Source organism: Homo sapiens, chromosome 3 (genome assembly GCF_000001405.40).
Source record: "Homo sapiens chromosome 3, GRCh38.p14 Primary Assembly".
In the NCBI taxonomy this organism is placed as follows: Eukaryota; Metazoa; Chordata; class Mammalia; order Primates; family Hominidae; genus Homo; species Homo sapiens.
In genome coordinates this window covers 37,493,507-37,510,611 of record NC_000003.12, presented here as the reverse complement: position 1 = coordinate 37,510,611, position 17,105 = coordinate 37,493,507, and the positions used below count along the sequence as shown (strand labels likewise).

Sequence of the window (17,105 nt, the reverse complement as noted above, 5' to 3'; positions counted from 1 at the left end):
AGGAAGTTTAGACAAGTGGGTTCTCAAAGGTTAATCTCATCCTCCTTGCACCACCCACTCTCAGATCTACCCCCAAAAACCTGATCAACTTGAGCATAGGTTCTCATCCAAACCAAGAGGTTTTCAAGGAGGAGAGAGGGCACAATTACAGATTGTTAATTACTCGAAGGCAATAGGAATTAACCGGACCTCCCCAGGGCACAGACAGTAAGGAGTAGGGCAGGGAAGGAAAAGCAGTTTGGGGGGGCACAGCTACAACTGAACATAAAGATACTCAGAAACTCCACAATTCATTTTAAATAATCCTTGGCCAGGTGCGGTGGCTCATGCCTATCATCCCGCACTCTGGGAGGCCAAGGTGGGTGGATCCCTTGAGCCCAGGAGTCTGAGACCAGCCTGGGCAACATGGTGAAACCCCATCTCTACAAAAAAAAATACAAAAATTTGCTGGGCATGGTGGCACATGTCTGTGGTCCGAGCTACCTGGGAGGCTGAGGTAGGAGGATGGCTTGAGTCCAGGAGGCAGATGTTACAGTGAACCAAGATCATGCCATAGTGAGACTCTGTCTCAAAAAAAAAAAAAAAAAGGAATCCTTTACCTTTAGGCTTTCAAACCCAGGTACATTTGAAGGGAAGAGGGAGATTGTTTCCATGCTAGATACATTCACCCATTTGTTATCTTCTGCAGAAGATCTAAAATGTTAGCCTTAATTCCACTCATACCCTACTTGCTCTTTGAAACTCTCTTTTGTAAATCACAAGTAGCACAGAGTTATTTCTTTTCTAACTTTAAGGGTGCTTGGAAAACCCTTTTGCAGAATGGCTCACAGTCATTTTCCAGTGCTGTTGCTTTGGGGTTTTGGAAATGTTAAAATAACACAAGCCAGCAGAGTTCTCGGGAAGGCAGAGCCATTCTGAGGAAAAATGCAAAACCAAGTTTGGTGATGCATTTTTTATTCAAAAGATAATGACAATTATACACTAAGTGTACCTATTCGGATAGTTAAAATTGCAAAAAGGTCTACTTGAATGGGAGAACAACATGGAAGGATCCTAGGCTGGCGTACAGCAGTTCTAACTCGGCAGGAACAGAATTGAGGAGGCACATGGCCTCCTCCCATGTCCCAGACATCCTATGCTTCTTCCCAGATCCCACTAAGGCCTCCACCAAGACCTCCAAATTACCCCCACAGCTCCCAGCCTAAACTTGTGTCCCTTAGAGTAGCCAAGCTCAGCCAAACAGTCCTGCTGATCTAAGCCACACAAGAAGTGCATGACTGATAAGCTCATGAAAACTGTTGCTTATTAATAGCAGGACTCTCTAATTGGCTTAATTTTAGACAACAGGGCAGTATAATGGAAACTTTCAGAAAGCAGAGAGAGGATTAGGGACAGGGTGGGGAGGACCCAGGCAGAGTAATCTCACCCAGGCTAACTTTAGGGCAGCACCCTGAGCTATTTCTGCTTCAAGGTTCTAAGAGGAATCAGGCAACCTGTGTTTGGATTTTCTTTGTGTGGCAACAGTCACCTTGGCAATGACAGTTGAGGGCTGAGGATTAGGGAAGGGGGTAATGTTGGGCTGGTGAAACAGGCTCAGTGAGAAGCATTTATTGCTACCTGTACTCAGAAAGATCTGCTCTCTCTGGAGGTGGAGATTCGTTGAGAAAGGATGGAGGCAGAGAGACAGGGCATGCAGTCACTTTGATGACAGTCTGAACTACGGACAATCTCTTAAAACTCTGTGCTGTAACTTGGCCCCATATAACTCATCTTGCTACAGAATGTCTCCTAAAGCGAGTATGAATCCCATGAATGTACAGATTACACATACCGCTGAGAAGGTAAAGACACCAACAAGCAGACAGCACTGCCATATAAACACAGGGCACAGGTAGGGCCTTCAAACCAATTTTCTAAAAAGTACTGACTCCCACATGATCACATCTCTCAAATAAAAAATAGTCACTTATACCAAGAACCTCACCTTTTTACCTGATGCTTGAAAGATCTTAATTAAGGTGCCTGATCTTCGGTCAGCTCTGAAAATATAAACCTATGGAATGAAAAAAAAAAAATCTAGTTAGGATGAAATCAATGATCAAAGATATTTATCAGCACTCTCCTGGGAGTCCTATTTAAAAGCTTAAGAGCCAGGTGCACAGCAGATGTGCTTATGCTAGCTGATGATCATGAAGAAGTCAGCTGTCATTTTACCAGCCCTGCAAAAAAAAGGGTCCTTCAATCCTGAGGCAGACATCACCTCCACTGCTCCTGAACCACAATACTTATAAAAGCCACACACAATAAGACCCAAGAAGCTTCCAAATTACAAGTAAACAATTCAACTCTGAGAAAAAGCTAGTATTTTGTTTCTTGAAATATTTCCTTTATTCCTGTTTTTAAAATTAGTTGGTGGTATGGATTGGACTTTATTCCCAGTAAGACTTTACCAGGCATTACAACAGAAGATAAAGGGATAGGTGGAGATGAGTACTGTAGACAAAGCAGTTTCCCAAAGTGATTTCACGTAATATTAGAGTCATGTGATCTGCCTGGGTAAAAATGAGTTTCATTTGGGAAATGTGGAGTTAAACATTAAGTAAATTCTTTGACTGTGGAACTTTTTAGAGCCTTTAGCATGTTCATGTGAACTATGCATCGCCACTGCAAAGACGATCACTGACATTTAACTTCCTAAATGTACTTGACTATGGAAGTTCTTTTTTTTGGATTACATCTCGTGGGAAGAGTGTCTCATGAGAACCAGTGTAAATAACCTTCCCATGAGATAAGGAACTGCCATCTTAGTGTGAGTGCTTTTGTGCCCTGACACTAGAATATCCAGCAAAATCCTGAAGGCCAGGGGTCCTTGGGAATCAAGTCTGTACTAGCCCCAATCCCTGGGAATGTGGAATTGTCAGCAACTTTGTCACTATGACCAGTTTCCCCATGCCTCTCAGGTGGTCTAATTGAAAGAAGCATTTTTATGTACTTTATAAACTGGGTCCAGGAGTCCCGCTGTCTGGCTCTATCAATTATAAGTACCATTCTCAACTTTTTAACTTTATACCTTGCACCCCCCAGATAGCCAGTGAGAGGGGTTTGCGGAGGGGTCATCTTAAGACTTGACAGGGACTATGAAGTTCATCACAATCATCTGAAGGAAAAACTATAAAACTGGATCATGTTTTCTGCAATTAGGGAGAAAAGAAAGCTGCTATCATTAGCATAGAGGCACCCGCATCACTGTGAACTAGACGTAGGCATTTTTACCATTTCTACAGAGATGCCCGGTAGCCCGCAGCCCCTCCCCAAGAAGACAACATCAATGTGAACAGCTCTCAGTGCTTCTTTCTCTACTTAGATAAATTCATGCAACTCAGAAAGAACCACCTCTTTCTTGAGGTGATCGAAGGTCACCTGCTTGATCCCTCCTCCCTGCCAGCTCAGGGCCCTGGTTTATCTGGTTTCAGTTTTGAAGAACCTCTTTCCACAGCATCAGTGTTAGGGAGGAGGGAGGCACATGCTCCAGAAACGTGAGCAGCAGCTCCTAACCTCTGCCCAGGAGGATCCACAGAAATTATCCTTAGTCAAGCCTAGTCAACTGGAAAGTTCGTCAGCTCCCTGATCATCCTGACCTCCTGGCTGAAGGCTCCAATTACCAGTGGTCTCAGCTCATCTGGGCTAATCCAGAATCCAGATTCCACTTCTCCAAGCCCTGGGAGATATGACCAGACTCTATCACAGGTCTACCCCTAAAGGTCCAGATCCAAAGTTCATTCCTCTGTTCACTCAGTCTTTCCCATCAGACAACCTATGGAGCTTCTTAAAAATGTGGGTTCCTGATCCATCTGTACCTACTCAATCTGGATTTCCTGTACCTTCATGATAAAGAACCAACAAGCGTAGTTCACAATTCAGGCCCCTCAGAGGTCATGTTTCCCAAAGGAATTCAGGCAGCCCTAGATCCAGGGGGTGGGTTTTTTGGCAGATACTATAGTTTAGGGAAAGCCAGACCCACATATTTCCAGTCCAGCCTTTGGGCTGAACCAGTCTTGGGAACCCAATGTTCCTTCTCAAACACTGGGGAAATAAATACGAGAATAATTTGGGGCATGAATAAAGCCTCAAAGATATCTGAGACTGGACCTAGCTCCATTAAATCAAAGCCAAACTTGGGAAGGGTTTGGGATTTGAAGTTGGACAGCACTAAATGCCATTCTTTTGAAGGACACCATAAGGCCAGGGCTCAGTCTTATAAATTACACACACACACATGGTCAGCTGTGAAAAACCTCAGATGAGAGTGTGCAGGAAATCGAGAGTGTGAGTATACTCACACTCTAATTGAGCTTTCAAGGGAAACTTTCCAATGGAGTGGGGCAGTCAGGGGGTTCCTCATCACCTCCCCACCAGCCACCCAGTAGAATGTTCAGGTCAATGTCAGCTGGCAAACCTCTGCACCAGGGACAGCATGCTCCCCTCTTCTGTCTGACCCCAGCTATTCCACAGATGTTTCTCCTCACCTTGCCGATGCCTTTGTCCTGTGGGGCACCTCCTACCACATCAATGGTGGACGGGTGAGAGAAGTGGCCAGCGGTCACTGCGTAGCCTGAACAGGATGGGCGGAAACCAAGCACACGGTTGAAAAAGAAGGGAAGGGAAAAAAAAACATCCATCAGAGGAAAATGTTTCTCAAGCATGCTCCCTACTCTTGGAACATAAACTACCAGGAAAAAAATGGCAGCTGTCAACCTTCTCATGCTGAAATGGCTCTCATCTCACAAAAAGTCATGTTCACAAGGATATCAGGGCAGGAAAGAGGGCTTTCTGAGTGTCTTCTTTCGGACAAGTACTGTATGAAATACTATATATCTGTTTTCTTCTTTTCAAGGCATAGTTTTCATACGGTAAGGTCATATATCTGACGTGTAAAACTCAATGAATGCACACATGAGCGTAGCCATGCAACCACCACCCAGATCAAGGAAGTGACTATAACCACAGAACCATAACCCCAGAGGGTTCCCTCATGCCCTTTCCCAGTCAATATGCCCCACACAGGTAGCCACTATTCTGATTTCTATCACCATATATTAGGTTTGCCTTTTCTTGAACTTCACTCAACATAACATCTGTGACATTCATCCACATCGTTGAGTACAGTAGTAGTTTCTTTTTATTATTGAGTAATATCCGTTATATAAATATGTCATATGTTTATTCTGTTGCTGGGCATTTAGGTTGTTTCCAGGCTGGGGTTAATATGAACAAGGTTGCTACCAACATTTTTATGCATGTCTTTAGGTATCTCTTTCAGTCTAAAAACTTTATGAAGAAGGCATGACTGTTTCTTCCATTTTACAGATACAGAATTAGAAAAACCTGTTAAACAACATGCCAAAGATCACACAGCAAGACTCAAATCTAATCTGTGCCTCTAAAGCCCCTGCTGTTAACCACACTCCCTCCTACAAGAAGGCAAAAGAAGCTGTCAGTGGGTGGGTGGGTAGATGCATGGTTGGGTAGATGGATGGGTGGATGGGTGGGAGGGTGGTCAGTGAAAAAATATGGATGCAAAAGGAACCTAGAAACAAAGGAAAAGATTGCCTAGGCTTAGCCTCAACGTCTCCTGCTTTCTGAGAGCCTTGCTAGCAGGCTGAAAGCTCTCCTCTGGCCAGCATAAATCCTGTACAGGCTGCCATATAATCCCCAAACTTGTCATCACCCTCTAACCCTAAAGTGATTGTAAGTTGTTTGAGTTTCGCGATGACATCATATCATGATCAATTCTTCCTCACCATGTGGCTGATTTCTCTCAGACTGGCGACTGATAGTACCTAAGAGTATTCTGAGTGAGATCAAAGCCTGAACGGATCCTTGATAATCCCTGCAGCTGATAAGAGCCTCTAATGTGTATACAAAGAGAAACCACAGGCTCGAAGCTTCAAAGGAGCTGTTCTAGACCCCAAACCCATCATCCAAACTGGGCTTTCTTCTGCTCTCTCTTCATTCCCTGATTCAATAAATATGTGTTGAGTTACTACTATACACCAGGCACTATACCAAATGTGAGACACAATCCCACATTTTGTCTTCAAGGTGCTCCCAGCCCAGTGAGAAGTACAGTACCAGTGATAGGTGCTCTCTCAGACGCACCCACAGGGAAGGCAGCTCAGCATTTAGACTCTGCACTCAGAAACCACAAGCTCATACCCTAATTTTGCTACTTAGGAGCCATGTGACCTTGGCAAGATGTATAATTTCTTTGCTCCTCAGTTTATCTATAAAATGTAGATAATAATAGCTACTTCATAAGGTTGTTTCAGAAATTAAAAAGAAATAATACATACAGCCTGGCATAGGGTAAATGCTTAATAAGCAACAGCACTAGGCAGCTGGGTGCCTACAGGAGCAAACACCCCAGAGTAGAAGGATTGTTGGGTCTATGCTACCAGGCAAAAAACTTGTAGTTAGAAGGGAAAAGGCAAGTCAACGACTCCCTAACCCCATTTAACAAGAAGTTCCCAGTGACGCTATGCAAAAAGGGAGTCAGGGCCTTTCCCTGTAAGTTATGTATCATGAGTGCGAAAGAGCATTGTGTGTCATCATTAGGCCTTCCTAAATTTAGCTTCGCTTTCAATCCAGAATTATAGCATTTAGGGCATAAATTAAAGAAAAGAGTCTTGTAATTGTCATCTACACAAGCAAAGACAGCCTATGTCTGTTCTTAAATTGGCATGGACCTTGTCCCAGTGTCATTCTGCCTGATAGCTACATTAAATTGTGTCTATCTTCTTTCCAGAAGATTAAAAGAGTTAAGAAAGCAAGAGAAATTTTTCTGAGCCTTTAATTAACCTTCAGCATTAGGTTGCCATCTGTCATGATAATTTCTAGTTCTTATCTTTCTATTTGCTACCAGTTTTGTGATCAGAAAGCAAGGACTCCATCCAAAGGGACGCCCGTGGAAAATCAAGACTCCATCACACTCATTTCTACCTGACCATCTGAACTTCAACAATTGATAAAATGAGAAAATAAAATGTTTATTTCCCTGGAGGTTCAACTGTCAGCTTTTTAATTAAAGCATACAGTTTTAATTCAGTTCCCTCCTTGGTTTTCCTCTCTACCTTGTGTTTGTGGAGCTAGATGTGAAGATGCCCTGGCTAAAGATGTAAGTCATTAGAACAACAGGCGTCAAAGCCAACTAACTCCTCTTTCCAACAATGAAGCAATAATTTGTGAATCTGGTGGGAATCACTCCCATTTCCCCTTTCTTACCTGTTCTCTCCCTGAGTACTCACCCAGGTAGGTGTACCGCCTGTTCATGATCACTTCGTCGTTCAGTTTTAAATAGGTGTTGTCCGTAAGGTTCAGCACTTTGATGGTTCCAGCCCAATAAAATGACCCTGGAGCACCCATCACCACCAGCTCCTACCAAAAAGAAATCCAACGGTAAGCAGAGAAGGAAGTGAGGAGGGGAGGAGGGGAATGCAATGAGAACCACAGTCACAACAAAGGAGAAATTCCTCACACCAAGAACTTTTTTTTCCCCAGCTAAGCAACAAAAACAGATTTCACCAGATTCATCAGCATTATGGAATCTATTATACAGACGGGATTATCAGGACTAAAGATGTGAAGAGACTGAGCAAGGTGACAGAATTCACGACAGGCCAGGCCCCTATTCTATCCACGATGAGACCACACACGTTTCCTCAACTTTACATCAGGCTCTAACAAGGAAATGACAAACAGCTGACATTGACCTCAACCACAGATTCTGGGGAACACCACTCATGAAAAGCAGTAAGCAATACCGCACCCTGCCTGGACTCCAGGCTCACCATTCAACTCCCCCGACCTGATGCGTAGCGAGAGGAAACTGTGCACTAGTACTCCAGGGAATCCCCTCCAGACCACACTCAAGACCCTCTCAGGGACGTTCTAGAACATGGTTTTCCGATCATTACAGTCCACTGCAAACATGGAAGAACAAAACCAAGAGACCAGCAAGGTCAACTAAGGAAAAACACAAACTGGAAGAGGGGACCACAAGGCAGCAATAGACGGTATCACTGTTAAAAACAGACTCAAGGCCGGGCGCAGTGGCTCATGCCTGTAATCCCAGCACTTTGGGAGGCCGAGGCGGGTGGATCACTTGAGGTCAGGAGTTTGAAACCAGCCTGGCCAACATGGTGAAACCCTGTCTCTACTAAAAATACAAAAATTAGCCAGGTGTAGTGGCACATGCCTGTAATCCCAGCTACTCAGGAGGCTGAGGCAGGAAAATCGCTTGAACCCGGGACGCAGAGGTCTCAGTGAGCCAAGACCATGCCACTGCATTCCAGCCTGGGTGACATAGCAAGACTCTGCCAAAAAAAAAAAAAAAAAAAAAGACTCAAGAACATAAGAGGCACAGCTGTCTTCAGCATTTAGATCAGGGGGAAATGGTCAACAGGGCTGAGAGCATGTTTGTGCCCCAGAACCATCACCAATGCTGACAACAACCCTAAGTTCCCAGAAATGATTTGGTCACCCAAGGAAGTCAGCACAGATATCTGCTGGGGTTTTCCCCTGGGTGATACGATAATGGAAATCAATCAACATCCCCTGTTCTCTCACTCCCAAAGTTTATTTCCTTTGCATTTTTCAAAATTCTAGACCACACTGTTTTCCAAGAGTACAGGGCTCAGGTAAAATTCAACACTGTCCACTATTTCAACCACATTAGGCTCTTCTCCTGCCACTGCCCCCTCAGACTGCATGCCTAGGACACTCTAAACTAATTCTGGTCTTCGGAACTCCCTCTGATCTTTTTATCTCCATCTGTGCAATGCCCTCACACTTCCTCTGCTTGTGTAACCCTTTCGCAGTATTCAAAACTCAGTTGAAATATGGGTGAATCCTAGACCAAATGTTGATGAGAAAAAAATGACTCCATTCATAGGAAGTTCTAGAATCAGCAAAACCAATCCACACTGATGGAAGTCAGATCAGTGGGTACCTGGAGTAAAGAGGAGGAACACTGTCTGCAAAGGGGCATGAGGAACTTCCCAAAGTGATGGAAATGTTCTCATCTTCATTCAGACAGAGACGACATGGTATACACATTTGTCAAAACTCATCGAACTCTGCATTTAAAATAGTGTATTTTATTATATGTATTAATTTTTTTAATTAATAATCTTGACTTTTTAAAATTCCAGAACAGTGATTAAACACTAACAAGGAAGTCATCACATAAAAACACAAAACATGCTAATGAGATGACATTTTACAAGCATTAAGACGAAGCTCCCATTGTGCAGAGGCTGTGCTGGAGCTAGGAGGCAGGCTGTGCTTGTATCCATCAGAGGTCCCTGGCTTTCAGTCCTTCCTTTCCCCAACAGGGAATCCCTACTTTTGGATTACCTTTATTTTCTAAAGTTTCGACACTGCAATAAGAAATAATCAGAATTATTTTTCTAATGAAATCAGTAATTTTTCACTCAACAATGTTTATTGGGCACCTACTATTATATCTCAGAGTTCACACTAGATATAAAGATAAATAAAGTCCCTTCGTAGATCATTCTTGGGGTAAGACAGCATGGTAATGTGCAAAGTATTTCAGAAAAAAATTCTATGCAAACAGGTTAAAATCAACAAAATTTCTAGAGGAAATCTTTCAGCTATAGACAAAACTCCAAAGATACTGGTCATGAAGGCTCATGGGGATAACAGATGCTGTGCAGGTCAAGTCTCTCACTGCTGAAACCCACCTGACCTTCCCCTGAGCCTTCAGAATTCCCCTGCACCCCGTCCCTTGGTCACCCACATATATTTCAGAAACAGATCTTTTCAGGTTGATCTCCCTCTGCAGAGACGAGCCCACGCACTGGCAGAAGCTGCTGGCTCTGACAAGTCCCTGGAGGCTAGATCCTGCCGCAGAGATTTAGAATTTCTGAGGACAATTCATAAAGTCACCACTGAATTCTCAGGGAGCAAGTGTCTGCAAAAGCCAGAAGTACCTAAAGAAAAAAAATAGAGAGAGGAGGATAGAGCCTGCAGGCAAGAGGGCAATGCCTTAAACAATACGTGTTATGGTTAATTTGGGGAAGAGCCTTAACAAAGGATAGGGCAGGAACACAGATGGAAGAAAAGCCACTAGATTCTCGCCGGAAAGGCTTGCTTTTTGATAATTCAGGAGGGTGTAGACAAGAAATGACTGTTGATGAGCACTTCATTTTAAAGTTTTGAGATCCTACCCCCCTTGAAGGAAGCTGTTGATGATAAGCCAGATGTTCCCAGGGGTATCTCACTGTTTTATAAAAATAGATAGCTTTCTGCAGTCAGGACGCTCCACTGGGAAACACAGCAGAGCATCCATCCACTCATTCTTTTTACACTCATCTGTCCTGCATAAGAGACCACGCTAGTTCTAGAAAGAGTACAAAAAACAGAAATAAGTTCATCAGAGGAGAGACTTTTTCTCCTGGCCTTGAGCTTGGAAAGGAATTTGTAATCAGTGTCCAAATATAATACAAAGGGCACTGAAGAACCTAATGAGCAACCTCCTCAGCCCCAGATGTATCCTCAGTGCAGAGCTTTCTCCACCTGCAGCTTTGCACAGGCCAAAGCTTTGAGCATCAGCACAGGCCTGCAAAGGCTCTTCGGAACATTGGGGGCAGGGATGGGATATGTTGCTTTCTGATGATTTAGACTAACCCAGGATAAAAGTTGAAAAATGTATGCCTACCATACCACTGCATCCCCTCTCAAACATTATAAACAGGGTAAGATAAAGTAATTCCTGTCTTCAAAAACCTTTAAAACCAACAGCTCTTGTTTTTACCGCACCACGCCACTCCGCCCCCAGTGCTCACACCCCTCTCCCTTCAGCCCATACTACATAAAACAGGGCCAAGCCTGCGACCCTCAGGGCTGAGGCTGAAGGGAGGGACAGTGCCTTCCTGGAAATCCCTCATAGTTGTTTTTTCTGTTCCCTATGGATGATGCTTGTGACCTTTCTGGTGCTGTTCACAAGTGCTAGGAAAAAGTGACTAATACTTAGCTCCCCACCATGCAGGAACAGCCAGTGTCAATGTCACACACACAAATGAAAGCTTCTCTAAGCAAAGGCCACCACTACCTAAATCACATTTGTGGAATCCCATCAATAAGCAATGCAGCTTTTTCCCAAGATGCATTTATTAGCAGAACACCTAGAGGAACCGGGGTATGTAGGTGGGCCTGGGAGAAGCCATATATTTCCTCTGTGTACTGCAAGTTGGCATGAGCAGCTGGGCAGGAGTGCCCGGGATCTACAACAGAAGTCCGTGCTGAACAAACTCCCACCCAAGTGCCTCTAGGCTTCTACAGCAGGCGTGAACGCCAGCCCAGCTGGTCCAAATCCTCTCTTGCTGCTAAGCAGTATCTACTACCTCTGTTAGCCTCATCTACAAAAATAAATAAACCTCCCAGGAAATTCTCTCTAATCCTCAATGTCAGGCTAAAATTCAGGTGGTATCCATAGCTCCGAAGGCTTTGTTAAGCTCAGGGTCACTGACCTGTAGGTCAAGCAGGCACCTTAGGCCAAAATATTTTGGGGCAACATAGCTATGACCAGAAGGCCACAGATCCATGTCCAGCTTGGGAGGGGACAACAGCTCACAGAAAAGGCAAGCCCAAGTGGCGAGGTCAGCAAGAGGGCAGAGGAGGGGAGTCGCGCTGGCCTGGACCCTTCAACCACATTTCCTGCTCAGCCACAAACAGCTGAACTTCCAGAAACAAGGCAGGCAGTGAGTTCAAAGACCTCCTGTTTAAGGAGGCCAAAAGCCTGGGAACTGAAGCGGAGGCCAAAGTCCAAAGTAGCCAGGAGACAGCAGGCCGGGGTCAGAGGACAGAGTGGCGCCCAGAGGGGCTGCCTTCCCACTCACCACTGCCCACCCTCCCCGGACACTCTGTACACCCACCATGTCCCCACTTTGCTGTACCATGAGCACAGCCAGCACATGCTGACACCCCATGTTTCCCTCAGGTTCTAAATCCCAAAGCCTGGATTTCAGCAGGTCTTCTGTTCTTCTGGTCACCCTGAGCTTGCACAGCTACCTGGACTTCCCCTCCACACTCCTGCCCCGCCGGTTCCTCCTACCACTCCCTGCCTCCACTCAGCCCAATGCCTGACTTGCCAGCTGCTGCGGCAAACATAATGACACTTCCCTCCTGGGAACACTTTCTCCTCGGCTCTCTGTCAACATCTCCGTTGAGTTCTGATGTCTCCCATCAATCTAGCTTCTCCTCCCATCTAAAGGGAGGTGTCTCCCCCATGCCCTACACTAAGCACACTCATCCCCTAAGAGAGTCATGAGCAAGGGCCAAATCTAAGTTTCTGCCCCAGGCAGGACTCCAGTCCCTAAGTCCAAACGTCCTCTAAAAACATCGCACACTCCCTGTGTCTGAAAGCAGACTTGGCAGTTTATATCTCCCAATGGGTTCTTTCTCAGGCAACCCCTTTTCACCAGAGGCACCACCATTCTCCAGAAGCCTGGCTCAAACCCTCCTTCCTCTACCCCACAGCTCCCTGGCCACCCAGCCCCTTGACATTTCCTTCATATTCTCTGCCTCCCCCAATCATTTTTATTCCTTAAGCCTCCCTCTACACTGTCCTGTTGCTTCACGGCCTCCTACCACATCACGGCCTCCTACCAGGCCTCCCTTCAGGCCCTTCCACTCCCAAAGTTCTGGGCAAACCCAGCTCAAATAGCCTTTCTTTCAACACTGCCATCTGCCAGTGTGTCACCTGCTTGTGAACTTACAGTGGTTCCCACTGCCTATTGACTCAAGTCATACAATACTAGACAGGCCTGTTGGAGGAACAACAGCCATAGTTGTCACACAATCTAAATGTTTGCTGAGATGGAAGAAGAGAGTGAAGTCGCCACACGGCAGGATGGCATTTCAATGGGGAGAGGAAAAGTTGTTTAACAAACCAGTATCAGAACAACCAACTATATATTTAGAAAAATAACGTAGTTAGTTTCTATCACACAATGTATACAACACAAATTCCAGAAAGATTAAAGATCGAAATCTTTTTTAAAAACAACCTATGAAAGTGCTATTAAAAATACAAGTATATTGAAAATATAAGTATAAAATATGGGAGTTTGTTCAGCCCAGACATGTGTTGTAGATCCCGGGCACTCTCCTGCCCAGCTGTTCATGCCAACTTGCAGTATACATAAGGAATAACCTTCTTAAGAGATAAGTTTAGAATCTAGAGGGAAAAAAAAAAAAAGACTGATAGATTTGGCCAAATGTGCATGTTTATTGCCAGGATGATAAAGACATCATAGGCAAACTTAAAACATAAGAAAAAGGCTGATGAAAAAATTTGCAACACATAGATCAGGTAAGAGATTACTGTTGAAAATATGTAACAAGTTCCTAAAAACCAGGAAAACAACAACAACAACAAAACAGAATAATGTACTGAGAACATAAACAGGCAACTTCCAGGAAAACAAATACAAATGGTCAATATTTTAAAAGGATATTAAATGACATTAATAATCAGGGAAAGTGACATTAAAACGAGATGTTTTTTCATAACAAAAATTTAAAGTCTGAGTGAGAGAAGATAGAGACAGAAGCAATGCAGGGGAGTGTCAACTGGTAAACATGTCTGAAGTGCAATTTGCCAACATGTATCAAAATTCAAATCTGAGTGCCTTTGGACCCAGCAGTTCCTCCATTAGTGTCTCTTCTAAAGAAACACTTGTGTACAAGGAGCCACGTGAATGGATCTCCAGTGCAATGCCACCAGTGGGAGTCCGGCATGTCCTAGCAGCAGCTGAAAATACCATGTAGTGGGTGAGGTAGGAGATGAGCCTGGAAAGGTATGAAGGCTGGGAGGCCAAGGGAAGGCATTTGCATTTCATTCTAAGTAGGATGAGAAGACACCAGAAAGTCCTGAGCAAGGGAGCACCATGATATTTTTCCTGTTTGTAAAAGGTGGTTCTGGCTGCTACATGGGGACCAGTCTGTCCAGAGGCAAGGGTGGAAGCAAGACGGCAGAAGGATTCCGCAGTGGGTTGGAAGCAAGACAACTATGGCTTAGATTTGTAGGGTGGCAGAGGATGTGGAGGGCAATGGATGTCATTGTTAGAGGTTTTGAGGGCATAGGAGGTGGTGGGACTTGCAAGGTGGCTTAGAAGTAGGAGAGTGAGGTGAGAGAACAATCTTTAAATTCGGCCTCAATGGTTAGGATGATTGGCGGTGCCATTCCCAGGGCATAGAACTCTGTCGACTGTCATAAAAATGATTCTCCAGCGAGGTAAGAATCACTGAGGGTGCGGAATGGGGGTTGGAGGGTAGCATCTCCTATTTATTGGTTTGAGAGTGAAAATAAAACTTCAGACTTTCTGCCTTTTCTTTCTTGCTTTCTGGATCAGACACTATATTGCCAACTGTCTATGTTCTCTTTGGATTTAAACAGCAGTTTCTGAAAGGAAGGTAGGCAGTCTTGCTCCTGACTCAGGAGGGGCCCTCACTTTGGAAGCCAGAGAGCACCCTTCATCCTCCCTCCACCCCCCATGTCCCATGCCCTTCCCCAGCTCTCTGCTCTCCTGGAGTGAGGAAAAGAGAGAGGTGGCCTCAGGGAGCCAAGTCCAGGGGCCAGGATGAGGAGCTTTACATTGTAATCCTCCATGGACTGGGAAGCCTCGGAGTCAGAAGGATGGGTTTCATTTGAAGGACCCTGGGGCTAGTATGCAGAAAGCACACTTCACAGGTCAGAATGGATGCAGGCTGGGTGATAAAGTGTTCTAACCTAGCCCATGGTGATGGGTGCACAACACTGTGAATGCACTAATGCCACTGAATCACACTTTAAAGTGGTGACTTTTATATTATGCATCTTTTACCACAATTTTTAAAAAAGCATAATAGACATAAGAAGACCAATCAGGGCCAGTGTACCTCCAGGTGATGGTGGTGGCCTTTCTAGAAGCATGATGGTGATAATGGAGGCGATTGTAATAGTAATAAAAGCTGTCATATTTGGGATGTGTTTTGGAGGCTAAAACAACAGGACTGCAGATGAATTAGAAGTAAAAAGTACTCTTTTTTTGGCCTGAGCAACCACATGGATAGACAGTGCCAGCAGGCAGTCATGAAAGTGTTTGAGAGAGGAGGAACTGATACGAAGGGCAAACTTACAGTAAGTAAGAATGACACAAGAAAACAGTCCCTAAAAATGTACTACCAGCCAAAAGTCATGCTACTACCACACGGGCACATAAGCATGCAGGTGTCCTGTCCTTCTGAATCTGGGAAAAGGAATGGTTAGAGTTGTGTGTAAAACCAAGTCTCTCAGGCCGGGTGTGGTGGCTCAGCCTGTAATCCTAGCACTTTGGGAAGCCGAGACTGGCAGATCACCTGAGGTCAGGTGTTCAAGACCAGCCTGGCCAACATGGCGAAACCCCGTCTCTACTAAAAATACAGGTGTGGCGGTGGGCGCCTATAACCGGGAGGCTAAGGCAAGAGAATTGCTTGAACCCAGGAGGCGGAGATTGCAGTGAGCCGAGATCATGCCACTGCACTCCAGCTTGAGTGACATAGCAAGACTCTGTCTCGAAAAACAAACAAGTCTCTCCACTAAGGAGAGAAGGCTGCTAGGAGGGGATGCTCACACGCTTCATGTATCTGCACAGCCGCCAATGATGGGGCACAACCTGACTGAATGTCATCTCACTCACACATCCCCAAATCGACTCCTTCCCCAGGTCTCAGAGTCAAGCAGACTCCTACAGAAATCATCAAATAGGGGTAGCCTCGAGATGAGCCACCCCACCTCCTCTGCCCAGTGGTCTCTGGCCAGCTGGTGCCCTCCGGGCAGGTAGAAATAGCCTCCTCTGGTGTGAGGACCAGAATCTGCTCCCTCGAGGCTCAAGTATCTGGGACTCCAGAAGTCCCACCTCTAAGGGTTGCCAAAATCATATAAGCAAGGAAATGAACACCCACAAGAGAACAGAAATGCCCAGACAGCAGACACCCACCTCGGTGAAGAAGCCCGCTATCCCAGCCTGGCAGGAGCCGTGTTCCTCTCCGTACTTCTTCTTATACTCTAGGGGGAAGGAAGGAGAGAGAAGCAAACCACAGCCATGTCAGTGTATGCCAGCTGTGCGTGGAGCCAGCAGAGCCAGCCAGCCACTTCCCACGAGTGCCGCGGCAGGCTGGGCCCAGGGATGCCATCCAGACTGGGGTGAGGAAGGAAAGTCTCAGGAATCCACCAGACCTCAAAAATCCAGGCTCTGGTGCCATCGGGAAGGGAGGCTGCCCAGTGCCCCAGCAGACTTCCTCCCCTCGTGTGCGAGAAAGAGGAGCAATAGCCACAGTCATTAAGTGGGAGGCTAGTGACAATTATTTCATTTACTCCAGAAGGGACAGAGATCCCTTGCAGGCCCAAGGAGCTGAAAACGTGACCCAGAAATGGAATGATGTGGCCATCCCAGTGTGGAGTCTCCTGGAAGAAGACCAATCTTCCCTAAAAGAGGCTTTGGATGCCTCCTACCATCCAAAAAGAAACAAGCCGTCCACAGAGGACCGCAAGAAGAAGGGACTGCTCTGGCATTCGGTTACACTATTGCTGTGTGGAAGGAAAGGGGGAAGATCTCTCCAGGTGGAAAGAAAACTAACAGATAAGCTTTTCTCCTCCACCCCCTCAGCTCACAACACTGCTACCCAACAAATGGGGGCGTTCTGCTGCTGCAGTTATAATTTTAAGCTGGCAAGGAAGAGGGGTAGGAAACTTTTGACAAGTGCTTAGCATTTTCCAGGCATTGTGTTAGCTGTCTCCAGGCATATCATTTCACCGGTCCCTCATCCCTGGGAACCCATATCCCCACTTGTTAACAGGTAAGAATATTGAGGCTCAGAGAGGTTAAGTGAATTGTCTAAGGTCACACAGCTCTAGTAAATGGCAATGCCAGGATTCTACCTCAGCTTGGACTTAGAAACCCATTCCTTCACTTCTGTAGACCATCAAAGGTTCTGCAAAGTGAGTGACTAAAAATACCCAGGAAAGTGACTGGATGTTGGAAATCATTTCATGGGTAAAG

At 45.4% G+C, this 17,105-nt stretch overlaps 1 protein-coding gene across 1 annotated transcript in view, besides 1 other annotated feature; it reads right to left on the bottom strand.

Moving 5' to 3' along the window:
• ITGA9 (integrin subunit alpha 9) overlaps positions 1-17,105 on the bottom strand; it is a 371,367-nt gene that overhangs the window by 312,896 nt on the left and 41,366 nt on the right. Inside the window, exons 5-8 of the mRNA NM_002207.3 lie at positions 16,044-16,111; positions 7,305-7,434; positions 4,527-4,612; positions 1,985-2,053 (exon numbers count right to left, since the gene is read on the bottom strand). Coding sequence (NP_002198.2) covers positions 1,985-2,053; positions 4,527-4,612; positions 7,305-7,434; positions 16,044-16,111 — 353 coding nt within the window. The remainder of the gene's footprint in view (positions 1-1,984; positions 2,054-4,526; positions 4,613-7,304; positions 7,435-16,043; positions 16,112-17,105) is intronic.
• Positions 11,899-12,399: an enhancer, noted in NCBI's record as "H3K4me1 hESC enhancer chr3:37539704-37540204 (GRCh37/hg19 assembly coordinates)". NCBI's record gives its function as "activates a minimal SCP1, AML or CMV promoter by ChIP-STARR-seq in primed H9 embryonic stem cells {active_cell/tissue: H9 hESC(primed)}" and the evidence as "EXISTENCE:reporter gene assay evidence [ECO:0000049][PMID:30033119]".